Below are 26,733 nucleotides of genomic sequence, written 5' to 3'. Positions count from 1 at the left end.
CGGGTCCCCTGCTCCGTTGAGTGCTTGTTCTCTCTAGACTGGAGTCCCACAAGGGCAGAGTCCTTGTCTTTTTCACCAGAGCCACCCAGGGCCTGTCCCTGAGAAGGGTTTGGAGTCTGGTTTAAGCAACAATGGCTCTGGACAACTGGATTCCAAGAGGCTATTGTTTTTGGAGACTACTAAATGATATGTGCTAATGCTCACGATAGAATGCCAGGGAAAGGGCACTGATCGGTACATACTATATGATTCCATTTATATGAGGCTCAAAACAGGCAAAGCAAGTCTCTGGTGGCCAATGTAAGCCTGGGCATCTCCTCTGGCTTTGGGAGGGGGTTGGCACAGGGAAGCCCACAGATGCCTCACAACCAGAAATGTTCTGTCTTGATCTGGGTGGCGGTTACATGGGTATAAATATATGTCAAAATTTTTTCAGGCTATGTATTTAAGATCGGTGCCCTTTTCTGTAAGTTATATCTAATTGAAGAAAAAAAAGAAGGCTGAAGAAGTGGCTCATCCTGTAATCCCAGCACTTTTGGAGGCCATGGTGGGAGGACTGCTTGAGGCCAGGAGTTTGAGGCTACAGTAAGCCATGATTGTGCCACTGCACTCCAGCCTGGCAACAGCAGATACAAAAAGTTGAACTGCTGAACGTTTGAAGATTTTTCATGTTGTCACTTTTTCACCTTTTCCCTTTTCATCCATTAGTTCATCTTTCACCCAGGTGGGCTGTAAGTGCTGAGAAGGCAGGGACCCCGTCCCAGAGTGACCTTGGTCCCCCAGGGATGCAAATGGCACCACGAGGTCTCAGACGCAGCAATGGCCTGAGAGCTCAGCAGCTCAGGCTCAGTGCCCCACTGCACCCCATCTCCTCATCTGCTGAAATACAGCCGTCCTAAGAGAAGAGACCAACATTCACTGAGCATCCACTCCTTGCCAGACACTGTGACTATCCCATGTGATTCCCATGATGACCCTAAGCGGGAGGAACTCATCCCCACTGGACAGATGGAGACACTGGAGTGTGGGGAAGGCAAGTGGGGACTTCTAGCCACATAATGGACTGAGCCGAGGAAGGCTCTCTTCTCCAGCTCCAGATACAGAAATGCTGGGGAAAAAAAAATAGCACATAGCTTGAAAAAGGAAGAAAAGGGGGAAGGAAAATCCTCAGGAGGCAGCATTGATGAGGGAATCTAAAACCAGAGGGGCCCACAGGAGCTGATGCAGAGAGGAACGCCTGCGACGGCAAGCCAGGTACAGGTTCAGGCTGAAGCTGGTTTCTTTTCTTTTTTGAGATGGAGTCTTGCTCTGTTGCCCAGGCTGAAGTACAGTGGCGCAATCTCAGCTCACTGCAACCTCCGCCTCCTGGGTTCAAGTGATTCTCCTGCCTCAGCCTCCCAAGTAGCTGGCATTACAGGAGTGCGCCACCATGCCCAGCTAATTTTTGTATTTTTAGTAGAGAGGAGTTTTTGCCATGTTGGATAGGCTGGTCTCAAACTCCTGACCTCAAGTGATCCACCTACCTCGGCCTCCCAAAGTGCTGGGATTACAGGCGTGAGCCACCATTCCCGGCCAGAAGCTGGTTTCTTTTTATGAGACAGAGTCTTACTCTGTCACCCAGACTGGAGTGGTTTGATTATAGCTCACCGTAATCTTGAAATCCTGGGCTCAAGTGATTCTCCCACCTTAGCCTCCCAAGTAGCTAGGACTACAAGCATGCAGCACTATGCCCAGCTAATTGTTTGTTTGTTTCTAGAGATGGAGGTCTCACTATGTTGCCCAGGCTGTCCTCAAACTCCTGGACTCAAGCGATCCTCCCACCTCAGCCTCCCAACGCACTGGGATTACAGGCGTGAGCCACCATACCAGGCCTGCTAAAGCCACCACACCAGGTCTGCTGAAGCTGTTTTAAGGTACACATTTTGCCTTGGAGCTATGGAAGGGATAGAGAAAGACAGTCATTCATAAGAAATGTGAATTCAAGTCAAATCTGAGCCAGGTCTAAGTGGGGATCTGAATTTATAGTATAAGAATTGTAAACCAAGAAATCAACATAAAAACTGGCCTAGAATTAGTTGAACCCCTAGTGTCCTGAAAACACCATGCCATGCTGTGGAAACACTTCCGCGTGAATCTCCAACAGAAAAACAAAAAACTCGGCCGGGTGCGGTGGCTCATGCCTGTAATCCCAGCACTTTAGGAGGCCAAGGCAGGCGGATCACCTGAGGTCAGGAGATCGAGACCATCCTGGCTAACATGGTGAAACCCCGTCTCTACTAAAAGTACAAAAAAATTAGCTGCGCGTGGTGGCGGGCACCTGTAGTCCCAGCTACTTGGGAGGCTGAGGCAGGAGAATGGCGTGAACCCGGGAGATGGAGCTTGCAGTGAGCCAAGATTGCGCCACTGCACTCCAGCCTGGGCGACAGAGAGAGACACTGTCTCAAAAAAAAGAAAAACAAAAAACTCCTGTTGAAGATGAGTTCACTAGTGAGAACTACAAATGACAAGAAAAAGGCTGGGCACAGTGGCTCACACCTGTAATCCCAGCACTTTGGGAGGCCAAGGCGGGTGGATCACTTGAGGTCAGGAGTTCGAGATCAGCCTGGCCAACATGATGAAACCCCGTCTCTAATAAGAATACAAAAAATTAGCCGGGTGTTGCGGCGCACGCCTGTAATCCCAGCTACTCAGGAGGCTGAGGCAGGAGGATCACTTGAACCTGGGTGGCGAAGGTTGCAGTGAGCTGAGATCACGTCACTGCACTCCATCCTGGGCAAACAGAGTGAGAGTCTGTCTCTGTCTCAAAAAGAAAGTGTCAGGCGTCTGAGCCCAAGCTAAGCCATCATATCCCCTGTGACCTGCACATATACATCCAGACGGCCTGAAGTAACTGAAGAATCACAAAAGAAGTGAAATTTAAATGGTCTGTTCCTACCTTAACTGATGACATTCCACCACAAAAGAAGTGAAAATGGCCGGTCCTTGCCTTAACTGACGACATTACCTTGTGAAATTCCTTCTCCTGGCTCATCCTGGCTCAAAAAGCTCCCCCACTGAGCACCTTGTGACCCCCACTCCTGCCCGCCAGAGAACCCCCCTTTGACTGTAATTTTTCCTTTACCTACCCCTATCTTATAAAACGGCCCCACCCATATCTCCCTTGGCTGACTCTCTTTTTGGACTTAGCCCGCCTGCACCCAGGTGAAATAAACAGCCTTGTTGCTCACTCAAAGCCTGTTTGGTGGTCTCTTCACTCGGATGCGAGAGAAAAGAAAGGAAAGAAAGGAAAGAAAAAGAAAAGAAAGAAAGAAAGAAAGAAAAGAGAAAGAAAGAAAGAAAGAAAAAGAAAGAAAGAGAGAAAGAAAGAAAGAAAGAAAGAAAGAAAGAAAGAAAGAAAGAAAGAAAGAAAGAAAGACAGACAGACAGACAGACAGACAGACAGGCCAGGCGCGGTGGCTCACGCCTGTAATCCCAGCACTTTGGGAGGCCGAGGCAGGCGGATCATGAGGTCAGGAGATCGAGACCATCCTGGCTAACACGGTGAAACCCCATCTCTACTAAAAATACAAAAAATTAGCCTGGCGCGGTGGCGGGCACCTGTAGTCCCAGCTACTTGGGAGGCTGAGGCAGGAGAATGGCGTGAACCCAGGAGGCAGAGCTTGCAGTGAGCCAAGATGGCGCCACTGCACTCTAGCTTGGGCAACAGAGCGAAACCCTGTCTCAAAAAAAAAAAAATTAAGAAAGAATATATATAATATATATGAAATATATATATGGAAAAATATATATATGAAATATATATATGGAAAAATATATATGTGGAAAATATATATTTCCTTGTATATATATATTTTCCTTGTATATATATATTTCATATATGTGTATGTGTGTATATATATATATATGGGAAAAGAGTGACCTATCCAACTAACACATGCAAGTAGCAGGGCTGAGGTTTCCTGCTCTGAACACTGTTTTCAGCTCTTAAATACTTTGGATGGTTCTGGGACCTTAAAACATAGACACTGCCCTCATCATACCCCATCTGCACCACCTTTTTATGCCTCCACCTGTGTCCCCAAGCATACCTGGCACTAAGGAGTTAGTAAGGCAGGTGCCAATGGCCAGTACTAAGAATGGTGAAATCATGGTGCACCCCAAGACCTGCTTTATCCCTGGAGCCCAGAGATGCAATCGACGTGGGTGGGAGGGGGTGGGCTGGCAGTGGTCAGATGTTAACTGATGTTCCAATCCTAGAAATTAAAAAAAGAGAAAAAGAGGCATGTGGGGCACAGCTCTAGAGATCCTTTTTCACTCACTTATTCATTCCTTGATTCATTCAACAAGTATTCGGTGAGCACCTATTACAGACCAGGCATGGGGCTCAACATTGGGATGCCAAACCCAGCTGGTCCCTGTCTCAGGAAGCTTAACCACACAAACAGCTGTGTCAGTGTCAATGAGTTCCATGCTGCAAAGCAGTTCCGTCCCATTTCCTAAGTGAATTTCCACTTTCAATTCATCTGAAGCCCCCTACCTCCCAGAGTCCAATCTTTTGGTGCAGTGTTTCTCAAACTGTAAGGAGAGCAAGCATCTGAATCCCCCAAGGGCTTGTTACAACAGATTCCCGGCCCACTGGTGAGGCTCCGATTGTATTTCTAATAAGCTCCCAGGAGAAGCTGCTGCTTTGCTGCTTTGCGGACCACACCTTGAGAAGCCCTGTTCTACAGCACTCGGTCTTCAGCCTTTTAATTACCTGTGTCCCAGGAACATCAGGGACAAAACAGAGTGCACCCCTTCTTTCAGGACCCCTACATTTGCTACATTCTCTTCTAGAGCTTGTCGTTTATGGTAAGAGATATAAAAATGGTAGGAGTCACATATGTGAAAAAACTGGCTGGTAAGTGTGGCCATTTCTGGGTGGTGACATCACAGACAACTGATTTTTCTTTTCCATTGTCTTTTCTGCATTTCCAAAATTTTCTTTTGTGCTGAGATACAGTATTATCTTTACAATTTTTAAAAAATATATATATATTTAAAGTCGGATGTAATTGAAGAGTTTAGGTGGAAAAAAAAACTGGAAGGAAATACACCAAAACATTAACTGTGGTTTTCTCTGGGTGGTAGGACTATGAATGATTATTTCCTCTTTATTTTTTTGAATTTTCCAAGTAGCCTAAAACAAGCATGTATTAATGGCATAAGAATGTTTTTACACTGTGGTCTTCCTGTTAAATCACAAAGAACAACCCCACTGGCAGCTGAGAAATGTACTAACCCTGTTGCACATGAGTTACAAGACAAAGAATTTTAAGTGGCAAGAGTTTCACTGGGAAATGTTATTGCTTCAGCCAAAACCAAGATATGACACCATTTGTTGTGGGAAACAGCAGTAATACACACTCTACCGTTAGAAAAGTGTTGTGACAGATAAGACACCACTCTAGTCCAATTATTATATGTTAAGTAAAAACAAAATAAAACATTTTTTAAAAGTTGTTTAAAGAAAAAAAGCCAGGCATGGTGGTAACATGCCTGTAATCCCAGCTACTTGGGAAGCTGAGGCTGGAGGAAGTTCGCTTCAGGCCTGGAGTTGGAGACCAGCCTGGGCAACACAGCGAGACCCTGTCTCTAAGAAAAATTTTTGTATTTTAATTTTTTAAAAGTTTCTTTTCTTTTTAAAAATTCTTCTCTTTGCAGCTCCAGCTCAAAGGAAAAAGATTTTTTCTTTTTCTTTTTTTTTTTTTTGAGACGGAGTTTTGTTCTTGTTGCCCAGGCTGGAGTGCAATGGCACAACCTCGGCTCACTGCAACCTCCGCCCCCCGGGTTCAAGCAATTTTCCTGCCTCAGCCTCCCGAGTGGCTGGGATTACAGGCTTGCGCCACCATGCCCGGCCAATTTTGTATTTTTAGTAGAGATGGGGTCCATGTTGGTCAGGCTGGTCTCGAACTCCCGACCTCAGGTGATCTGCCCACCTTGGCCTCCCAAAGTGCTGGGATTACAGGTGTGAGCTGCCGCGCCCATCCAAGATTTTTTTTTTTAATTTAAAAATAGAGAAAAAGAAAAGGAGAAAAGGAAGGAGGGAGGGGAGGGGAGGGGAGGGAGGAAAGGGAAGGGGAGGAAAGGGAAGGGAAGGGAAGGGAGAAAAAGAAACCACTACCACCAGAAGAAGGATCTTGATTCAACCTTAAAAACACGCAAATGGCCGGGCGCGGTGGCTCACGCCTGTAATCCCAGCACTTTGGGAGGCCGAGGCGGGCGGATCACGAAGTCAGGAGATCGAGACCATCCTGGCTAACACAGTGAAACCCCGTCTCTACTAAAAATACAAAAAATTAGCCGGGAGAGGTAGCGGGCGCCTGTAGTCCCAGCTACTCAGGAGGCTGAGGCAGGAGAATGGCGTGAACCCGGGAGGCGGAGCTTGCAGTGAGCCGAGATCGCGCCACTGCACTCCAGCCTGGGCGACAGCGAGACTCTGTCTCAAAAAAAAAAAAAAAAAAAAAAAAAACCACGCAAGCTGCGCTCCAGTGCCAGAAGTGACGGCTCTGGGGTAGGGGCTGGGGGTAGCGGCGCAGAGTGGAAATTAAAAGGCAATATCCCACATCTAACATCTAACAACACTTAACTGTGAGTGGTAGAATTTGGAATTTCAGATGATTCCTACATTTTTTTTTTTGTTCTACTTTACGGTTTCCAAATATTTCTATAGCAAATCCTAAAATCAGAAAAATGTTATTAACTGAATACGAAATACTAATTCATTAAACTATTATTTAAAATCACTTAAAAATGAAGTCACCTCTTTCAGGAAGGCTCCAGGATGGTCACTCACTCATTCCAATATAACACCACTGAGCTTCATGCCACCTCAAACATCGCATGTACCTCTCTTTTTGAAGGTAATATAGTTCTTTCCTGGGCCATCTCAGCTGCCACACCGGGAGTTTCTAAGTGTGAGGACTTTGTCTTGTTTGTCTCTGCCCTCCTAGTGCTTGGCATAGTAAATATTTACATCAGTTGAAAGCCAGTGCCCTAAGGAAGGTTGTGGGGGGAAGGGAAGAGCCATCCAAAATTATCTTCTCTGTGTGTGCAGGAAAGTCCAAGAGTTCGTGAAGATGTTTAACTACCGGAAGGTCCGCTCGCCGTTGGTGGAGTGCAGACAGGCACAGCGCATGGGAAAACCGGCAGGATCTACCGAAGCTGATCATCCTACCTGTACCCTGGGACCCGTTTCTCTCCAGCAGAATGTGCACATCAGCCCTGTTTATAATGGCTTCAAAACTGCCTCCATCTACGGCAGGCTGGATAATACATTGTGTGTGTTCACAACACAGAAACCACCACAGACAGCAAGGAGAATGGATGATCCACAGCTCCTCACAACAACATGAATGAATCGCACAAGGTAAGCTTGAGCAAAGGAAGCTAAACCCAAGAGCACTTACAGTGTGATTCCGATGACAGAAAGTATAAAAACTAACCCAGGGCGTTGGGAGACAGAACGGAGGCTCCACGTGGAGGGTACGGAAACGGGAACGGGCTGCTGGGGTGCTGGTGCGGTTCGGTTTATGATTGATCTGGGTGGGTGGGTGCTGGTTACACGGTGGGTTCAGCTGTCAATGTATGATACACACATTTTTCTCTACGTGCATTTTATTTCAATAAAATAAATACTACTCTTTGGGAGCTTACATGAACAATCTATAAAGGATACTGACAAAATGAAAGCAAGTCTATGTGCTGCACTCCATAGTTCATAAAGAATTTCACCATGATGTTTCACTAATCAGCTATGCAGTGGACAGAAAAGGACCTATCATCTCCTTTTACAGATGAGAAAACCAAGGCTCTGGACGGAGACTTGCCCAAGGTTACCAACAGGAAGTTGCAGAGCAGAAACCTGACCACAGGGCTCCTGATTCCAGAATTAGCAATCAGGTTACCATCAGTCACCCCCTCCAGAGGGAGGGATTTCTGTTGCCCCCAAGTGTAAAATGAGTGTTCTGACGTTTGACACATGGATAGATTTATGTAACCACCACCGCCACCGTCAGGACCCAGAACAGCTCTGCCACCCCAAAAATCTCTCTTGCGTTCTTTATAGTTACACAATCCCCCCATCCCTAAACCTGGCGATCCCTGATCTGTCCTCCACCACTGTGTTTTTGATAGGTATGGTATTAAATCCACAGATCAATGTGGGAGGGTTTACGTCTATACCACATGGAGTTGCCCAGTCATGAAGACACCACGTCTCTCCACTCATTCAGTCAGAGTTCTTCGGTTTTATCAGCACTCTGTAGTCTTCAGCCTGTAGATCTTGGATATGTTTTCTTAGATTTATACCTACGGGTTCCATCGTGTAATGGTTAGCATTCTGGACTCTGAATCCAGATTTATACCTAAGAATTTTGCTTTTTGGGGAACTATTGTAAATGGCAATGTTTCTGAGCCATATACTACCGAGCCAAGTGCGATGGCTCACACCTGTAATCCCAGCACTTTGAGAGGCTGAGGCGGGTGGATCCCTTAAGGTCAGGTGTTTGAGACCAGCCTGGCCAACATGGTGAAACTCTCTCTACAAAAATTAGCTGGGCATGGTGGTGTGCACCTGTAGTCCCAGCTACCTGAGAGGCTGAGGCAGGAGAATCACTTGAACCCAGGAAGCAGAGTTTGCAGTGAGCTGAGATCGCATCACTGCAGTCCAGCCTGGGCAACAGAGTGAGACTCCATCTCAGAAAAAAAAAAAAAAGAAAAAGAAAAAAGCATTCAGCCTTTCGGCGTTTGGGGTGGTCTTTTGAGGCGTGAGGTGGAGACAATCAGGAACTTGTTTTTGGATATGTTGAGTTGGAGATGTCTTTTAGAAGTGGAGACACTAAGGAGGCAGCTGAATATTTGGCTCTGGCATTTGAAAAAGAAGTCTGGGTTAGAGTATAAATTTGGGAATCATAGGCACAGGGGTGGCAGTTAACACCCTGATCAAACTTGACGTGCTCACCTAGGGAGAGGGAATGGGGTCACAGAAAACGATGTGACAGAAGCCCTCAGCAAACCAGGTATTGAAAAGAATTTCCTTAATCTGATAAAGGCTTTATGCCAAGAACCTGCAGAAACCATCATACTCGCTGGAGAAAGCTTTGGCAAACTCCTTTTAACACTGGCTTATGATGGTGAGGAGCCGGGGCAGTCTCGTCCACAACTAGGGAAATGAATTAGTAAGGAGTGGTGGAGGCAATGTCTGCGTGGCAGTGGTATTAAAACTAGATGTCCAAACAGCAGCGTGGTGGGGTCTAAAGGCAGAGGACTGAGTGATGAATGTAAAGAATCAAACGCAGTGTATGTAAGTGCAAACCACCCCCACGGACAGAATGCTGTGTAACGTACAAGGACACTTACAACTCCAAGGCCATATTAAGTACATTAGCATAGGGACTTCGGTGAGCTGTGGGAATGGCAGTGGGGAGGCAGGGAGCAGGGACAAAGGAAAAAATGAATAAACAAAACAAGAACTGAGAGCTTATTTGGGTATGTCATGTGCTAAGTGAGATAACGTATCCCACTCTCTCTGCACTGAGGGTCCAAAACAGGTGAGCGAATAAAGAAAAATAAAAGTGTAGTGACCCGGGAGCACTGAAAGGCTCATCCAGCCCCACATGATTATTCTTCCGGTTATTGGTCTGTCTCTCCTCCCTGCTAGCCTGAAGCTCTGTGAACGTAAAGACCAACATCTTACCCATCTCTGCATCCCGAGCCCTTGCACATGGTAGCAGTTCCATAAGTGCCACCAGTTCAGGCTGGGATGCTCTGAATTTTGGCCCCAGGGATAGGCATTGAGATAGGCTTGGCCTGGAGGCAGGTGCCTTCTCCCATAGCCTCCGCTCAGGACAAGGAGAGGGTGGGGACCTGGGAAAGCCTTCAGAACCCAGAGCCTCCCTGCTGGCCCCACCCCTAGGACCCCTCCCCCTCGCAGAGGCTCCTGGCTGCTCTGTGGCAGCCCTGGAAGCGGAGGGGCCCAGTTTGGGGCTGTGGGGGCCCCGGCTGCCCACCACCCTCTGCCAATGTCTGCCAGCTTAAAATGGGGCCTCCGGGTGTGTGTCAGCCCCATCGCCACCCCCTCCCTCCCTTCTCTGCCAGGCTCCCGGCTCCTCCGTAGCCTGATTACGCATGGCCAGTGCAGAAGCCCCGGCTAGGCTGTGGCGCCAGAGGAGCAGCTACTTGGCAGTTCAGTGCAGGGGGCTGAGGAGCCAGGCAGGCCTTAGCTCTGAGGACTGATTCAGCAACCCAGGCAGAGGGCCCGGGAGCATCCTGGAGTGGGGCAAAAAGCCAGCCTTGGGCTGGGTCTCAGAAGATCTGGGGCAAATGATAGAAGAATGGGACAAACGTGTCACTACCATTTCTTAGGCCCTCATGTTCCACTCAGCCCCATGCTGTTTACATCCCTGATCTCACAATATGGATGAAGAGCCCCCGTTTTGTAGCTTAGGAAACCCAACAGAGGGTTTGGCTAGTCTTCGACTATGCGCCATTTAAGCCCAGGCTGACGCCAGGGCTCAACCTCTCCGGGCCTTGGTTTCCCCACCATGAAGAGTAAGAGAAATGAGTGCCCCGCTTGCTCCATCTCACGAGAACAAATGGAAGCTGAACGAGCTTAGGGCAGGGAATTTGGCGGGATGCAGGGGGAGTCAGGCCAGCTGAGTTCCCCTACCTGAGCGGCCTGGCCAGGCGGCAAGTGAAGAAACAAAGGAGGCCCAGGATCAGCCCCAGGAGGAGGAGGCTGAGGGCCACCGTGAGGACCACATCCAGGATGGGGGACAGGAGGGCCATCTTGGGGCAAAGAGGGCCCCTGGGAGCAGCCACCACGCCCTGCACACACTCGGTCACACTAGCTCCAAAGCCCTGGGTCAGTGGCCGTGACCCGCTTTATCCCTGGGTTAATCTTTGTGGATTAGTCAGAAGGGATGAAACGGGGTGCTGGGGTGGGAGGGGGAGCAGGCTACGAAGCTCCTCTCTCCCATTTGAGCCCCGGGGGAGGGCCCGATGCTTGTTCATTCAACTTTGTTCATTCATTCCTCACTCCCAAACACCTACAGAGCACCTGCTGAGTATCTCTGTGCTAGGTTCTATGGAAACAGTCGGGAACGGGACAGAGTTTCTGTCAGCTTGGAGGTAACTGACCAGCCAGTGTGGACAAAGCACCTACTGTATGCTAGACATTGTGCCAGGTGCCCTGTGGGGCAAAAACATGGAAGGGAACCCCTTGGCTAGTAACACAGTAGGTTTTCCCCTAACAGCAGCAGCTGTTCCAGCCCATCTATGGGCCTAGAAATCTGAGTTGGTGCTTACCCCAGCCAGAGGGATGCACCCATGCTCAGAAGAAGACGAACTGCTCTTATTGAGCACCAACTGTGTACCAGGCCCCATCTGGGCTAGGGACTAGTATCCCCATTTGCAGAGAAACAGAGGCTCAGAGGTGCAATGGTGGAGTTGGGATTTAAGCCCAAATCTGGGGGTCTCCACGGCCCGTACCTCAGAACTGAGATAGCAGCAGCCTACGGAGGCTTTAGTGAAGCCCTGCCAGGCGCTGGCCTAAAGCCAGCAGTCACCCAGGAGGCAGCACACACAGGCTGGAGGTGGACGAGCTGTTGCCAGCACGGAGGGGCCTTTTCTGCTTCCAAAATTGTCTCCCCAACCCAGATCCAATCTCTCCTAAAACATCCTGTGAAGTCAGGAGAGTGGTTATGATTCCCATCTCACAGATTCAGAAACGGCCCAGAGAGGTCAAGCCACTTGGATATGCACAGCTGTGCACCATTAGACCAGGCCTTTTCTGATCACACTTCCTGTCTCCTGGTACACCTCAGATCCCATGGTCCAAAATACCCAAGGTCAGGAGGAGACACTTTTACCCTCTTGGTGCCAAGGAAAGTCCCCTCTTCTTGACCCCAGAAAGGCCACTGACCTCACCATAACAGGAAAACTAATCTCGTTACTCCATTACGCCCTTTTCTTTCTCAACATTCCCGTAACTCAAATTGCGTCAGATCCTCACAACATCCTAGTGATACTGGCAGGGTGGGGATTATTAGCCCTATTGATAAAAGAAAAACTTCAGCTGAATTAAATTTAAAAGAATTGCCTGCAATCCCAGCACTTTGGGAGGCTGAGGTGGGTGGATCACGAGGTCAGGAAATCGAGACCATCCTGGCCAACATGATGAAACCCCGTGTCTACTAAAAATACAAAAATTAGCTGGGCATGGTGGTGTGTGCCTATAATCCCAGCTACTCGGGAGGCTGAGGCAGGATAATCGCTTGAACTAGAGAGTTAGAGGTTGCAGTGAGCTGAGATCGTGCCACTGTACTCCAGCCTGGCAACAGAGCGAGACTCTGTCTCAAAATAAAATAAAATAAAATATAAAAAAATAAATTTAAAAGAGTTTAATTGAGCAATGAACGATCTGCAAATTAGGCAGCCTCCTGAGCCGGAGTAGGAACCAGCGCAGCCACTTAGTAGAAGAAGATTTATGAACAGAAAAGGAAAGTGAGGTGCAGTCAGATTGGTTACAGCTTAGCACTTGTCATTTGAACACGGTTTGAACAGTTGGCGACATTTGATTGGCTAAAACTTGGTAATTGGTGGCTGGGCATGGTGGCTCACTCCTGTAATCCCAGCACTTTGGGAGGCTGAGGAGGGTGGATCACCTGAGGTCAGGAGTTCGAGACCGGCCTGGCCAACATGATGAAACCCTGTCTCTACTAAAAATACAAAAATTAGCTGGGCATGGTGGCAGGCGCCTGTAATCCTAGCTACTTGGGTGGCTGAGGCAGGAGAATCGCTTGAACCCGGGTGGCGGAGGTTGTAGTGAGCTGAGATTACAATGCTGTACTCCAGCCTGGGCGACAGAGTGAGACTCTGTCTTAAAAAAAAACAAAAACAAAAACAAAAACAAAAAAACCCCCAAAACTTGGTGATTGGCACAAGTGTAGGCTATAGTCTGTTTACACCTCTATTTCTTATAGTTTACAATGTAGAGAAACTGCTAGGCTGAACTTAAAATATGTAAGAAGGCAGCATTAGGCTAGATTTGATTTAATAATTCCCTTCTTTTAGTTATTTTTTAAATTTTGAGACATTGACCAAAACGAGTCACTGATGTCACTATCACCATTGTAAATGTACTTATTTGGTCTCGAAACCCACTGGGAAACAGTAGGACAGTGGGTTTTGTAAGGTGGGAATAAAGACTTTAGGTTATTTTTTTTAAGGGTTAGAGGGTATTTTTTTTAATGTTGGAATGTCCTGTTTACAAGAAAAAAAAACAAAACAAAACCTGGTTTTAGCATTTATGTGTTCTTTTTAAAGTTTTAGTTTGATGATATCACATTTAGCACAAGTGACTCTATTTAGGTTTCGTCTGGTCTCTTGGGGCCTAGTGTATGCATTTAGTCCAAAACAACAGCCTCTCATAATTTTGTTTTTGTTTTGAGACAGTTTCACTTTGTCGCCCAGGCTGGCATGCAGTGGCACGGTCTTAGCTCACTGCAACCTCCGCCTTCCAGGTTCAAGCAATTCTCGTGCCTCAGCCTCCTGAGTAGCTGGGACTACAGGCGCATGCCACCATGCCCAGCTGATTTTTTTGTATTTTTTAGTAGAGACGGGGTTTCACCATGTTGCCCAGGCTATTCTTGAACTCCTGAGCTCAGGCAATCCACATGCCTCGGCCTCCCAAAGTGCTAGGATTACAGGTGTGAGCTACCACGCCCAGCTCATAATTTTGTTTTAAAATTCCCCCTTTTTGGTCAGGTTCTCACTTAGGTGAGAGTGTGACCCAAACTTAGGGCCTTAGCACCACTCTCAGTCACCACATTTTGAAACCAAGGCCTAGCAATGAAGTCACTGGGTGAGCTGTCACACAGCCAGCAAATCTGATCCAAGCCCAAGCTCCACCACTTCCCAGGTGTGTGTTGCTGGGTCAGTCCCTGCACCTCCGAAACTGTTTCCTTTGGCGTCTAACATTGGTTTCCCATTCAAGAACTACGGTGCACCAGGTGCTGACTGTGACACACCTGACCTGCTGTGTCCTCATTAACAACCCTGAGAGTGAGACAGAGCTGTCCCCCTTTACAGGTGAGAAAATGGAGGTCCACTTGGCCATGGTGAAGAGGTCACATCGATGGCAGGTACTGGGCCAGGCCCTGCACAGGCCTCCATGTGGGACCTACCCAGGGACACCCCTGTGCCAAGCTCTCTCCACCTCAGCTCAGCCGGGGGCCTTCCCCATCCAAGCCCACCCAGCTCCCAGGCCTGCTCCAAGGACACCCTCCAAGGCTCTACCAAGCAGCCTAATAAACTGATGTGCCTCCAGGGAGCATCAGCTGGTATGCCCCAGCTTGTACCTGGCAGGACTCACAGGGTCAGGTATTTGCCCTTAGGGAGCCCCCGGTCTAGAGCACGCAGCCCCAGACTGTCCAGGCTGGGAAGGTCTTTTGCGATTTCCCAAATGCCCCGAGCCACAAAAATCACTTGAGGTGCTTATGGAAAAAGTCTTATTCCCAAGTGGTTACCTTGGGAGGAGGATTGACTAGGCGGTGCATGAAGGAACTTCCTGGGGCAATGGAAATGTTTTGTTTTGTTTTTTTTCAGATGGAGTTTCACTCTTGTCGCCAAGGCTGTAGTGCAATGGCGTGATCTCGGCTCATGGCAACCTCCACCTCCCAGGTTCAAGTGATTCTCATGCCTCAGGCTCCCGAGTAGCTGGGATTACAGTGTTTCTGCCCGGCCGGTCTTTATCATGACCTGAGAAGTAGTTAAACGTGTGTATATTTGTGAAAAGTTGTCGAGGGGCTAATCGTCCCTACCCTGTCTATATCGTGAGGTTTTTGGGGAGGAGCTGATGAGATTTCAATAAAGGGAGTGTTGGGGAAAAAAAGGGTTTAGTGGAGGGATGTGACTATATGCAAGTTTAAAAGGACAGATTAGAAAGACATAACAGCCCCCTAAATAAATTCCTACTTCTCCTATTCCAGACCTACTCGGTCAGAATCTCCCAGGTCAGGGCCTGGGAAGCTGTTTTTTTATTTTTTGTTTTGAGACAGGGTCTTACTCTGTCGCCCAGGCTGGAGTGCAGTGGCACGATCATAGTTCACTGCAGCCTTAAGCGATCCTCCTGCCTCAGCCTCCCAAGTAGCTGGGACTACAGGCACACATTACCACATTTGGTTAATGTTTACATTTTTAAAATAGAGGTGGGGTCTCACTATGCTGCCCAGGCTAGTCTCGAACTCCTGGGTTCAAGTGATCCTCCTGCCTCAGCCTCCCAAAATGCTTGGATTACAGGTATAAGCCGCTGTGCCCAGCTGGAAGCTGTATTTTTTTGGTGGGGGGATTGGGGGGATGGAGTCTTGCTCTGTCACCCAAGCTGGAGTGCAGTAGCGCAATCTCGGCTCACTGCAACCTCCGCCTTCAGAGTTCAAGCGATTCTCATGCCTTAGCCTCCCTAGTAGCTGGGATTGCAGGCCCACCACCATGCCCGGCTAATTTTTGTTTTTAGTAGAGACAGGGTTTCACCATGTTGGCCAGGCTGATCTTGAACTCCTGGCCTCACGTGATCCGCCCGCCTCGGCCTCCCAAAGCACCGGGATTACAGGCGTGAGCCACTGCGCCTGGCTGGAAGCTATATTTTTAACAAGTCATTTTCTGAGCAGATTCATTTGGGAAACTTTGTCTTAGAGATCATCCCATTGTCCAAATGGGAAGACTGAGGCCTAAAGAGGAGGAAAGCCTTGCCCGGTGAGAGGAACCACTATAAGCAGACCCTGCATCTCTCAGCTGCTCCCCACCAGAGGCACACATAGGGAACTGAGTCAGCTTGGAGCCAGCATCCCCTAGCCTGTCAGCTGGGCCTTCTGGGCTCTTCCAAGGAGCTGTGGCTAGAGAGGAGTGCTGAGTTGCCCTTGTGTCCCTGGTGGGCATGAGGAATGAGGCAGGGGCTGGGGGGCACCTGCATAGCTGCCTAGGGAGGGAGCCCTGCTGAAGACCAGCCCAGTAACATTTCAGCTGCAGAGTCATAGGGAAGGGACATGGAATTCCTCTCTCCGCCAAGCCCAGCATCTCTGGCAAGCCTTGCTGGCCAGGACTGTATTCATTACTGGAGGAAGTTATTTATGGCTGTCATGAAGAGCTGGATGAAGTGCTTGCGCAGGAATGTGTGGTGGTTTCAGAGTGGGCTGCAGGTCAGATCCAAGGAAGGACTTCCCTAGAGGGCAGTGGGCCAGTGCTGGGGATTATAGTAAGGCTCAGACTTCTAGCCATTGACAGCACCCCATCCTGGCAGGAAACAGACGTGGAAGTACCCCAGAGGCCTGGTGCCAAGCCACTGCATCTTTAGGGCTTTGATGAGAACCCAGCTGTCCCCTGAGCGCTCCCAGCCTCAACACCTCTGCACTCTGTGCTTCCCAGACTAGAATGTCCCATGCTGTCCAACCAATGAATCCCTCCCCCTGCCCTCTCCCTACCCTACCCCAGCCCAGACAGCAGTTTCGGCTCCTCCCCAAGCTCCCAGCACCCAGTGCCATGAAGCCCTTGGTGAAATTAATCAGAGCCTTAGAGAATCATAGGTTGTCACCCTCTCACCGTGGTGAGCTCCTAGGGAGCTGGAATCCTGCTCTGCTGATGGCAGCAGCCCCGTGGCTGGCAGAGGCCGGCACAGGCCGGGTGGCCAGGGAATGTCGCTAGGTGGAAGGATGATGGGGTCAGAGGGTGGGTGGCTGAAGAGACAGCTCAGCAGCAGTGAAGATGGATGCTGGAGCCAGGCTGCCTGGATTCTGATCCTGCCTCTGCCCCTCACCAGCTGGGCAGCTCAGAGCAGGTGACCTCACCCCTCCACACCTAATAGAAGCCACTGCGTTGTTGTAAGGATGCCTTCATACACACAAGGGTGTAAAACGGAGGCTGGGATGTGGTAGGTGCTGAGTGAATGTCAGTCAGGAGCTAGGGTTATGGGGAGGGGGAGCAAATGAGGTGGATGGACTGCGGGGCAGAGATGGGCAAGTGGGGCAGATGAGGGGCTGGAGCAGAGAACGGATGGACCCTTCCCCGCCCACTCGATCAAGCCACCATATGCTTTGGGATTTCCCAGAGACCTGTTCACCTGGATGGCTGCAGACAGTCCTTCCAGCTCTGAGACTCTAGAACCCAGAAGCTCACCTGCCTGCTGAGTACTTTCCCTTCAAAGGGCCTGTTCTTAAGCGGCAGAGGTCCTATTCTTACAGTCAAAGGGCTCCCATCTCCAAAGAGAACCAGATCTCTCTCTCCCTCACACACTCACTTGGGAAGAAAGGAGTAACCTGCCAGGTAGCCTGACACTTCCTTTCCATCTTGAAGGGGAGAGAGAGAAAGTCTAGGACAGGGTATGGGCCAGAAGTGTCCGTGGGGGTGGGTCGAGCACCAGGCTGGAAGGATGATGGGGTTGAGATGAGCAGAGAGAGAGAGAGGACACTCCCAACAGGACCTGAGTGTTTAAAGGCAAGGAGGCAGGAATGTGTGGAGTTTGGGGTTCAGGGAGAAAGGCACGAGCAGGCGGCTTGCATTCAGGACAGAGGGGCAGCCTGGACCCACCACAAAGGGCTCTGCTCCCCAAGCACGGCCTGGTGGAGAGCAGGCCCTCTGCATGCCTCATCTCACTACATGCCCCATTGCCAGCTCCATTTTACAGGTGAGGAGGGTGAGGCTCTGACTGTCACTTACTCAAGGCCACACAGCAGAGCTGGAATCAGAAACCCTGAGGGTCTGGGTTCAGAGAAGCCAAAGCTTCTCTGGGGGTCCCTGAGGCTCCAGGACGGTCATGATGCCCCAAACCAACTCTGTGGGCAGAGGACTGAAGCCAGAGGACTAGTGGCAGGAGAGAAGCAGCAGGGAGGCGCAGTAGGGAGATCGCAGGGGAGGGAGATAGCAGGGCCCAGAGACACCATGCCTGGGGCCTGCAGTGCCCAGGCAGGGGTCGGGGGCGGAGCATGGCTGCTTTGCAGGCACACAGCCTTCTGCCATGCCATGGAAAGGACATGTTCTGCCCCAGGCCACCTCACTCTGTGCCAAGCCTAGATGCCAAGTACAGAAAGCGGTGGGGGAGGGTGGCGCACGCACTACATCTGCGGTGTTCGCCAACCACCTCCTCCAGCACTTCCCTCAGCCCTCTGCAGGGGGAGCCTCCCTGGTACTAGGAGACATGGCCGGCCCATCCTTGCTCTCACAAACAACAAGAAAAGGAAGGCACAGGCCGGGCGCGGTGGCTCAAGCCTGTAATCCCAGCACTTTGGGAGGCAGAGGTGGGCAGATCACGAGGTCAGGAGATCGAGACCATCCTGACTAACACGGTGAAACCCTGTCTCTACTAAAAATATACAAAAAATTAGCTGGGCTGGGTGGCGGGCACCTGTAGTCCCAGCTACTCGGGAGGCTGAGGCAGGAGAATGGTGTGAACTCGGGAGGTGGAGCTTGCAATGAGCTGTGATCGTGCCACTGCACTCCAGCCTGGGTGACAGAGTGAGACTCCATCTCAAAAAAAAAAAAAAAAGGAAAAAGAAAAGGAAGACACAGAGAGGGTACACAACCTCCCCAGTGTCACACAGCACATCAGGGGCAGGGATAGGTCTCCCCACTAACCAGCTGAGGATTTGGGGGGCAATTACTGGAAAGGCAAGGCAGTGTTCAAGGCGCAGCTTGGATGCCAATGTCTTGGACTTCCGTACATTAGTGATTTGCGGCAACTGATGAAAATATTTCAAACTGAGACTATTTTAGAAAAATCCTATTTTACATATTTTGTCATCGTATTCATAAGATTAATAATAACAAACCTTTTCATAGACCTTATTATGTGCCAGGCATTGTTCTAAACACTTTACCTATATTAACTCACTTGATCCCCACAACAACCTTCAAGGTAAGCACTATTATTATCCCCATTTTACAGATGACAAAACAGAAGCACAGAGAGATTAAGGAGCATGCCCAAGGTCACACAGCCAGTAAGTGAGCGAGCCAGAATTCAGCCTTACTTGGGGATGTTTCTGTCTCCCAGGACTAAGCATAAACTCCTCAAACAGGAGGCAAGACTGGAAACAAACCACCATTTGCCCTCTCTGCAATATGTACATTACACAGACACATTATACTTTTGCAGATGAAGGGATTGCGTGCAGCTGCTATTTGATTCACACTCACTACACTCTGTTCCCAAATGTTATTTCATTGTATCTGCACCACGGTTCCCAGTGGGAGGGCTTCCTATAATCATAACTTTACAGGAGAGGTGAGGTGACTTGCCAGAGGTCACACAGCAAGAGAATGTCACATCTAGGGTCCAAGTCTCTTCTGATCTTTGCACGGTATCTTGTAGCCAGCCCTGCAGTGCAACTCACTTGGGGCTTGCAGTGGCAGGGAGGGGAGGATCCCAGATTCAAGACCTGGCATTCAAGACCTGGCTCTGCCCCCGGCCAGGTGGGCGCACCCTGGCCACCCCCACCCATAATCCCCTCCTTCAACTCATCCTCAAGACAGGGCATTGGCCAATCCCGGCTCTCCCCACTCCCCTCCCCCTAGCAGAGGATGTGTCCATTGTGCAGATGGCCCCACGCAGGCCCTGTGAGAGGAGGCTGAGGAGGCGCCGGGCTGTGGGAAAAGGGACAATGAACTTGTAGCTTGCTGGGCAGCGGCCAGCACAAGCCGAATCCCTGGGTGGCGGGCGCAGAGGGCTCAGATCAGAGGAGGAAGGACGCGGGTGTTCCCAGAGACAGTGCTCAGGGCAGCTGGGCTCCAGATAACAGCGTTCCTCGCATTCCCAGAGGACGCTCCAGCCGGCCACAGAAGGCTCCGGTGGCTTTTGCGTTTGATCTCCGCGGCGACCTTGGGACATAGTAGGGCAGGGCTGACGCCGAGAGCCCCAGACAGGAAACTGGGGCCTATGGAGGTGAGGTCCCACCCAAGGGCATGCAGCTCAGCAGGCCCCCATTGACCTTGGGCACACCACCTCACCCGTCAAATGGGGACCATCCTGGTGAGAGCCTACGTCACTGGAGGAACAAGAATTCAGTGAGACAATAAACAAGGAGAGAAAGACCCAGGGCCTGGTACGCATTAAACAATAGGTGTTAGCCAGAAGTAACAGTGATCACGAGTGTGCCGGGCACTGCTCTAAGCACTTTACACGCAAAGCCATCTGGTCCTCACACCAACGCCCTCATTGCTCCCAGTGTACAGAAAAGTCAAGGAACTGGGCCAAGGTCACATAGCTACTAACAGGACCCAAAGAGGAAGAGGGAGAAACTCTATGGAGCAACTACTACGCGCCGGGGGCTTTTCACCCAGTCTTCGAATTCCAGTGAAGTGCAAATGATCAGCTCCGGCTCAGGAGGAAAAACCAAGGCTCAGAACAGGAGGGAGGTTCAGGGTCACAAAGCAACCACGTGGGAGCGCTGGGATTCAGGCCAGGTCCGTCCAGCTCCATGTCCAGTGTACGTGCCACCCCCATCTCAGTCACATGCCAGGACAACCTCGGTCACCAATGGCAGAGCTCGTGCCTCAGCCATCCCAGGCACAGGGAGCCCTGCCTCAGTGGGGCTGCATGAGCTCACTCTGCTGGGGTGTAGGGGGATGGCGGTGGGGGGGGTGGTTCTGGCAATGAGAGCTGCAGGAAGCCATGCCTGGCTGCTGCCCTGTGGCTGGTCCTCATGTCATGCTGCTCTCTCAGCTCCCTGTGTACTTTCCCGTGATCGCAGCTTCCTGGGGGCCTCTTGTATCTAGACAGAGTGCCCGCTCCACAAAGTGAGGGGCTTCAGTCACGTTGGCCTCTCCCTCCTGGGTCAGCTCCTCTGGGCTTATAATTTTGCACAGAGAGGCTGAGATCAGTGGGGGCAGCCCAGGGTTACAAGTCAGAGTCCTCGCTGAATATTCAAGGGCTGTTTCCTTGGCTGTAGAGCAGGGATAATAAACTCCATTCTGCCTCCAGTATCAGCGTCTTAGAAGGGAAGGAACCTGGCCGGGCACGGTGGCTCACGCCTTTAATCCCAGCATTTTGGGAGGCCGAGGCGGGCAGATCACAAGGTCAGGAGATCAAGACCATCCTGGCTAACACAGTGAAACCCTGTCTCTACTAAAAATACAAAAAATTAGCCAGGCGTGGTGGCGGGCGCCAATAATCCCAGCTACTCAGGAGGCTAAGGCAGGAGAATCGCTTGAACCTGGGAGGTGGAGGTTGTAGTGAGCCAAGATCGCGCCACTGCACTCCAGCCTGGGTGACAGAGCAAGACTCCGTCTCAAAAAAAAAAAAAAAAAAAAAAAGGGAAGGAACCTTGCAAATCAAAAGGTACAATGCAGAAGTTTCTACGGCTCTCCACTGCACTCCCTCTGGTGAGTGGAGTGGACATCTACTGTCATTTTTGGCCACCCAGAGTCTGTTTCCCCTTCCTAACAATACCACCAAGTTTCCTTGGGAAGTGACCCTCCCCCTTTCAGCCTGGTTTGGGTGGGACTGATCCCGCCTCCAGCTCCAGGTGGACCCTGACTGGCTCCAGCTGGAAGACTCTGTCTGCTTGCTGGGTTATGAGGGTGTGAAGTGGTGGGGAAGGGCACTTTGTATAGCCTGAAGAGGAAGCAACCTCTCAGAGATGGACTAGAGAAAGGTAGAGACCTTGAGTCTTTGATAGCATCACTTGGGCTCCTAGATGCAGCCATGCCTGAAGCCTTCCTCTGAACATCCTGGCTACATGAGCCAATTAATTTCCCCATTGTGCGTCTTGGCTTTTCTGTTACTTGGAACACAGAGTCTGACCTCAGAACTGCAGCTCAGCCAGTTTTTCTCAGCGCTTTAGATTGTGAGCAACCAAATCAGGTCATTCATATTCTGCCAGCTGTTTCTGCCAGAGGAAAAATCTTGCAAACAAGCTAAAGCTGACAAGTTTCAAGTATGTGGTAATGTAAGAGTCCAACTTCCTACAAGTCACTTTCTACTTGGAATCTATAAACTTCTAGAATTACAGAAAGTTTTGGGGCTGGACTTGTCTAATAGCCCTGCAGGACTCAGATCCTCACTTTCTGACAGGTTGTTGTCCATTGAAGTTTACAACCCTTTGACCACCAGGTTCCATGCATCTATTGTGTGCCAGCCCTGTGACAGGACTTGCAGGTACAAGCTCTGCCTTCCAGGCCCTTCAGTTTGGTAATGACTGGTTATAATTCACCTTTCTAGTAGGTTTTACACAAAAGGCCTCGGAGGGAGAATACCACTACACCCATTTCAGAGGAGAAAGTAGAGACTCAGCAAGGTGAAGTGACTTGCCCTAGGTCCCTCTGCTAAACAGGGGCAGGGCCAAGCCATGTCTCCAGATCTGCCTGGGCCCAGTGCTACTGCTTTTTCTCCTAGTCATTGGAGTGGAGTGGGCTGAGGCTATCATTTCTTTGAGAGTTTGTTCCACTCAGGAGCAGTCAGAGTGGTTTAAAAAGCTAAAGAAAACGAGAAAGCTAAGTGTCATGAGCTTCCTGTCTGCCTGAAGGTCTTGACTTCTTCAGAAGCCCCAGTATTTGGCCCATCCAGCTTCACTCTCCTTTCTTTTTTTTTTGAGACAGGGTCTTGCTCTGTCATTCAGGCTGAAGTGCAGTGACACGATCATAGCTCACTGCAGCCTCAACCTCCCGAGCTCAAACGATCCTCTTGCCTCAGCAAGAGACCAAGTAGCTGGGACCACCGGCGCACAGCACCACGTTCGGCTGGTGATTTTATTTTTAGTAGAGACAAGGTCTCGCTATGTTGCCCAGACTCTCAACCTCCTAAGCTCCAGCAATCCTCCTGCCTCAGCCTCCCAAAGTGCTGGGACTCCCGGGTGAGGCCCCACACCCAGCCAAACTTTCCTCTCCTATATGGCTCGCTGCTTGCAGGCTGTGGCCAGAGAGGAAACCAGCACTGCCCTGAAATCCAGACCCCAAATGCTTTCATGGGAGACCTCGTCACCCCAAGTGAGCTGTCCCAGCCTTTCTCAGGCGTCTGCCCTATGTCTCTAAGATCCAGCTGATCTTGACTAAACACCTTCTATGCCTAGGGCTTTCCCTATATGTTATTCAACCAACATTCGCTGGAACACTGTTTATTGAGCAGCCACAATATGCCAGGGGCTGTTCTAGGTGCTGAACATAACAGCCCAAATCCCTGTCAGTGTGGCAGGCAGACAACAAGGAAGTAAGTAAAAGCAATAGAACGCCAGGTGGCGGTAAGTACAGCGGGGAAAAAGAAGGCAGGGAGGAGGACAGGGAGGTTTGCAGTTTTAAATAGAAAGATCAGAGAAGGTCTCACCAAGAAATCATTTCACTGTGGCCTTGCAATGATCCCACACAGGCCAGAACGTGATTCCCAAATCACAGATAAGGAGGGATAGGGTTTCAGGATAACTCTCAAGTCCATGCATGTCAATACAACCAGCGCAACTGGATTCTTGCCCAGGGCCTCCTGTCTCCCTCGTGCCCTCTCCCCTAACTCTACCAAGGGGTACTAGCAGCCCTTTTGCAGAGGAAGAAACTGAAACCACAAACCCAGACCCTCAAGAGTACACCAGGGTGAGGGACAGCGGTGGGGGGCTAGAGTTCAGCCCCAGAGCTGCCCTCTGGGCCTATCTCTTGGCAAAGCCCACATCCACTACCCTAGGCTTCAGTCTGAAGCTTCAGCTCTGGGTTTGTTGAAACTCAATCCTCCTCTTCGCTGACTCCGTGTCCTCCCAGAATCCTCCTCCCTTTCCCAGAGCCCCTGTGGCTCTCTATCTCAGGTCTTATGAGCCCCAAATTGTCCAACCCACCTTTGTTCTGCCTCCTCAATTAACTTCTGGCTTATCACTAAGCCCACATTTGCATGAAACTACAAAAGGCATCTTGCATATGGCCAAGGGCGGACAGTCAGAATATACATGTAGGATCCAGGTGTGGTGGCTGACACGTGTAATCCCAGCACTTTGGGAGGCCAAGGCAGGAGGACTGCTTGAGCCCAGGATTTCAAGACCAGCCTGGGGAACATGGCGAAATCCTGTCTCTACAAAAATTAGCCAGGCATGGTGGCACACACCTGTAGGCCCAGCCACTCAGGAGGCTGAGACTGGAGGATCGCTTCAGCCCAGGAGGTCTAGGCTGCAGTGATCCGAGATTGCGCCACTGCACTCCAGCCTGGGAGACTTCTCACTGTGCTTTCCCATCTGCCTGTATTTGGTAATCTCCCAAGTCCCAGTCTAATCTTCTTCTTCTTCTTCTTCTTCTTCTTTTTTTTTTTTTGAGACAAGAGTTTTACTCTTGTCACCCAGGCCAGAGTGAAATGGCACGATCTCGGCTCACTGCAAACTCCACCTCCGAGGTTCAGGCGATTCTCCTGCCTCAGCCTCCCGAGTAGCCAGGATTACAGGCGCCCACGACCACACCTGGCTAATTTTTGTATTATTAGTAGAGATGGGCGGTTTCACCATGTTGGCCAGGCTGATCTCGAACTCCTGACCTCAGGTAATCCACCCACCTCAGCCTCCCAAAGTGCTGGGATTACAGGCGTGAGCCACCGTGCCCAGACCCAGTCTAATCTTCTGAATAGTGTGGCATGGTGGAAAGACCTTGGTCTTGTGGGAAGTGGACCTGGGGTTAAGTCCTGGCTGTGTAGCTTTGAAAGCAACTTTGGGGTTTCAGGTTCCTTATCCATAAAACAAGGTTGGTCATCCTCACCTTGCAGGGTTGTTTTACAGATAAAATGCAGTGGAGAGCATCCGTTAAAAGTTAAAATTCAACAGAGAGTGTATTTGGAAAGCAGAGCCCGGCAGATAATCATCAAGAATCTACCAAACTGAAAGGAGATGTCTGTATAGTGGTGAAACAACTGTCACCAGCAGAATGACAGCTGCATTCACTGTGCTCCTACACTTTGAGGTAGGTACTCTTAGTATCATTCACATTTTATGAAGAGGAAAAAAGCACAGAAAGGTTAAGTAACTTGCCTGAGGTCACACAGCAGACCTGCAGCAGAGCTGGGATTCTGAGCCCAAATTGTCCAACTCCAAACTACAAGCTCTTAACCCATATATTAGGGTAAGTAAACGGTGGCTTTCCATGTTGAAAGAACTGCTCCATGATACATAGCGTTAAGTGCTGACCCAGGAAGGGCTGGTGGGCAGCCCCACTCCAAAGCTTGTGCTCCCCACCATGGTATCACAACAAACTGAAAGGGACTCTAGGAATACTCTAACCCAACACCTTCATCTTTTTCTCCAAGAGAAGCCTGAGGTCCAGAGAGGTAGCATGACCTGCCCAAAGTCACACAGCCAATTAGTTGAAGAATCAGGACAGGCACCCTGGTGTCCTGACTCCAGAACCCTATGCCATCACTGAGTGTCACCTTGACCATGAGGCATGGTCAGGGAAGGAGTCTTGAGGATGTGCTGAAGTGTTTCAGCAGAAGTGGAGGGAAGGAAGTCTAAGCTGCTGGAACAGCCCATGCCAAGGTCCAGAAGCCGTGAACGTCTTTCCTGGAGAACAGGGAGCTGTAAGGTGCACGCAGAGGTTTGGGTGGGGCAGAGAATGAGGCTGCTTTCTCATATTGAATATTTGCTTTCAGCTCTTTTATTTTTTACACTCTCTCATTCTACTTTATGCTGCAAATGTTTTTCCTTATTTCTCTTGTTTCCTTATTTCTCATGTTTCTGATGTTTATTTAAAATATTGGTCTTGGGCTGGGCGCAGTAGCTCACGCCTGTAATCCCAGCACTTCAGGAGGCTGAGGCGGGCGGATCACATGAGGTCAGGAGTTCGAGATCAGCCTGGCCAACATGGTGAAACCCCATCTCTACAAAAATACAAAAATTAGCAGGGCATGATGGCAGGTGCCTGTAATCCCAGCTACTCGGGAGGCTCAGGTGGGAGAATCGCTTGAACCTGGGAGGCAGAGGTTGCAGCAAGCTGAGATCACACCATTGCACTCCAGCCTGGGTGACAAAGCAAGACTCCATTTCAAAAAATAAAAAATTAAAAAAAAAATCTTGGTCTTTTTATTCTAATACCACTGACTCTGGGTTGTCTCTAATCAGTTTATGGTTTTACTTTTGAATTCATTGTGCTCTGGCTGGTGGTGGGACAGGGGATTGGGGAATCCACACGCTCCTTGCCCCAACAGAGAGAGAAGACATATGGCTCCTGGGTCCTCCTTCTCAACATCAATCCCAAGTAACAACAGAACAAAATACCACTAAGCCTAGGCAACAATGGGGAAACAGAATCTCCTGGGAGATGGAAGAGAGTTTAAACTAGTGTGTGTAGGGTGGCGGGGAGGGGTTGCTGCAGCCAGGAGAAAAGGCAGGGCATGGTCTTTAGGGTGGAGAGAATATTACAGAAAAGAAAACAGGGTTTGAGTTCTCCTCTTGCCTCTCTGTTCCAAGCCCAGGCCCCCATACACACACCCACTGTCCTGGAACAACTAAGGTCAGAGCTGGGTGTGGGGTTGGAGTTCAGCCCCACAGCCACCCTCTGGACCTGCCTCCTGGCAAAGCCCACATCTGCTACCCTAGACCTCAGTCTCCAACTTCAGCTCTGGGCTTGTTGAAACTCCATCCTCCTCTCTGCTGACTCCGTGTCCTCCCAGAATCCTCCTCCCTTTCCCAGAGCCCCTTTGGCTCTCTATCCCAGGACATGTGAGCCCCAAATTGTCCAACCCACCTTTGTTCTGCC

At 50.0% G+C, this 26,733-nt stretch overlaps 1 protein-coding gene across 6 annotated transcripts in view, besides 3 other annotated features; it reads right to left on the bottom strand.

The window, feature by feature from the left end:
- The window catches only part of ALPL (alkaline phosphatase, biomineralization associated), a 69,427-nt gene that overhangs the window by 20,180 nt on the left and 22,514 nt on the right, over nt 1-26,733 (bottom strand). For 3 of the 6 annotated variants that reach the window (NM_001369805.2, NM_001369804.2, NM_000478.6), the window contains exon 2: nt 4,089-4,253. The exons of 2 other annotated variants lie outside the window; for them this stretch is intronic. In NM_001369805.2, the coding sequence (NP_001356734.1) occupies nt 4,089-4,149 (61 nt within the window). In that variant the 5' untranslated portion in view covers nt 4,150-4,253. Of the gene's footprint in view, nt 1-4,088; nt 4,254-6,802; nt 6,962-26,733 lie in introns of those variants that run through there. One more of the 6 variants, NM_001369803.2, reaches the window with a different exon arrangement.
- Nucleotides 19,739-20,257: an enhancer, noted in NCBI's record as "H3K27ac-H3K4me1 hESC enhancer chr1:21864467-21864985 (GRCh37/hg19 assembly coordinates)". NCBI's record gives its function as "activates a minimal SCP1, AML or CMV promoter by ChIP-STARR-seq in naive H9 embryonic stem cells {active_cell/tissue: H9 hESC(naive)}" and the evidence as "EXISTENCE:reporter gene assay evidence [ECO:0000049][PMID:30033119]".
- Nucleotides 20,258-20,775: an enhancer, noted in NCBI's record as "H3K27ac-H3K4me1 hESC enhancer chr1:21863949-21864466 (GRCh37/hg19 assembly coordinates)". NCBI's record gives its function as "activates a minimal SCP1, AML or CMV promoter by ChIP-STARR-seq in naive H9 embryonic stem cells {active_cell/tissue: H9 hESC(naive)}" and the evidence as "EXISTENCE:reporter gene assay evidence [ECO:0000049][PMID:30033119]".
- Nucleotides 23,211-23,940: an enhancer, noted in NCBI's record as "H3K27ac hESC enhancer chr1:21860784-21861513 (GRCh37/hg19 assembly coordinates)". NCBI's record gives its function as "activates a minimal SCP1, AML or CMV promoter by ChIP-STARR-seq in naive H9 embryonic stem cells {active_cell/tissue: H9 hESC(naive)}" and the evidence as "EXISTENCE:reporter gene assay evidence [ECO:0000049][PMID:30033119]".

The sequence above is a fragment of the Homo sapiens genome, chromosome 1 (genome assembly GCF_000001405.40).
Source record: "Homo sapiens chromosome 1, GRCh38.p14 Primary Assembly".
In the NCBI taxonomy this organism is placed as follows: domain Eukaryota; kingdom Metazoa; phylum Chordata; class Mammalia; order Primates; family Hominidae; genus Homo; species Homo sapiens.
Note: the sequence above shows the minus strand (reverse complement) of the source record. Positions and strands in the feature narration are given on the sequence as shown.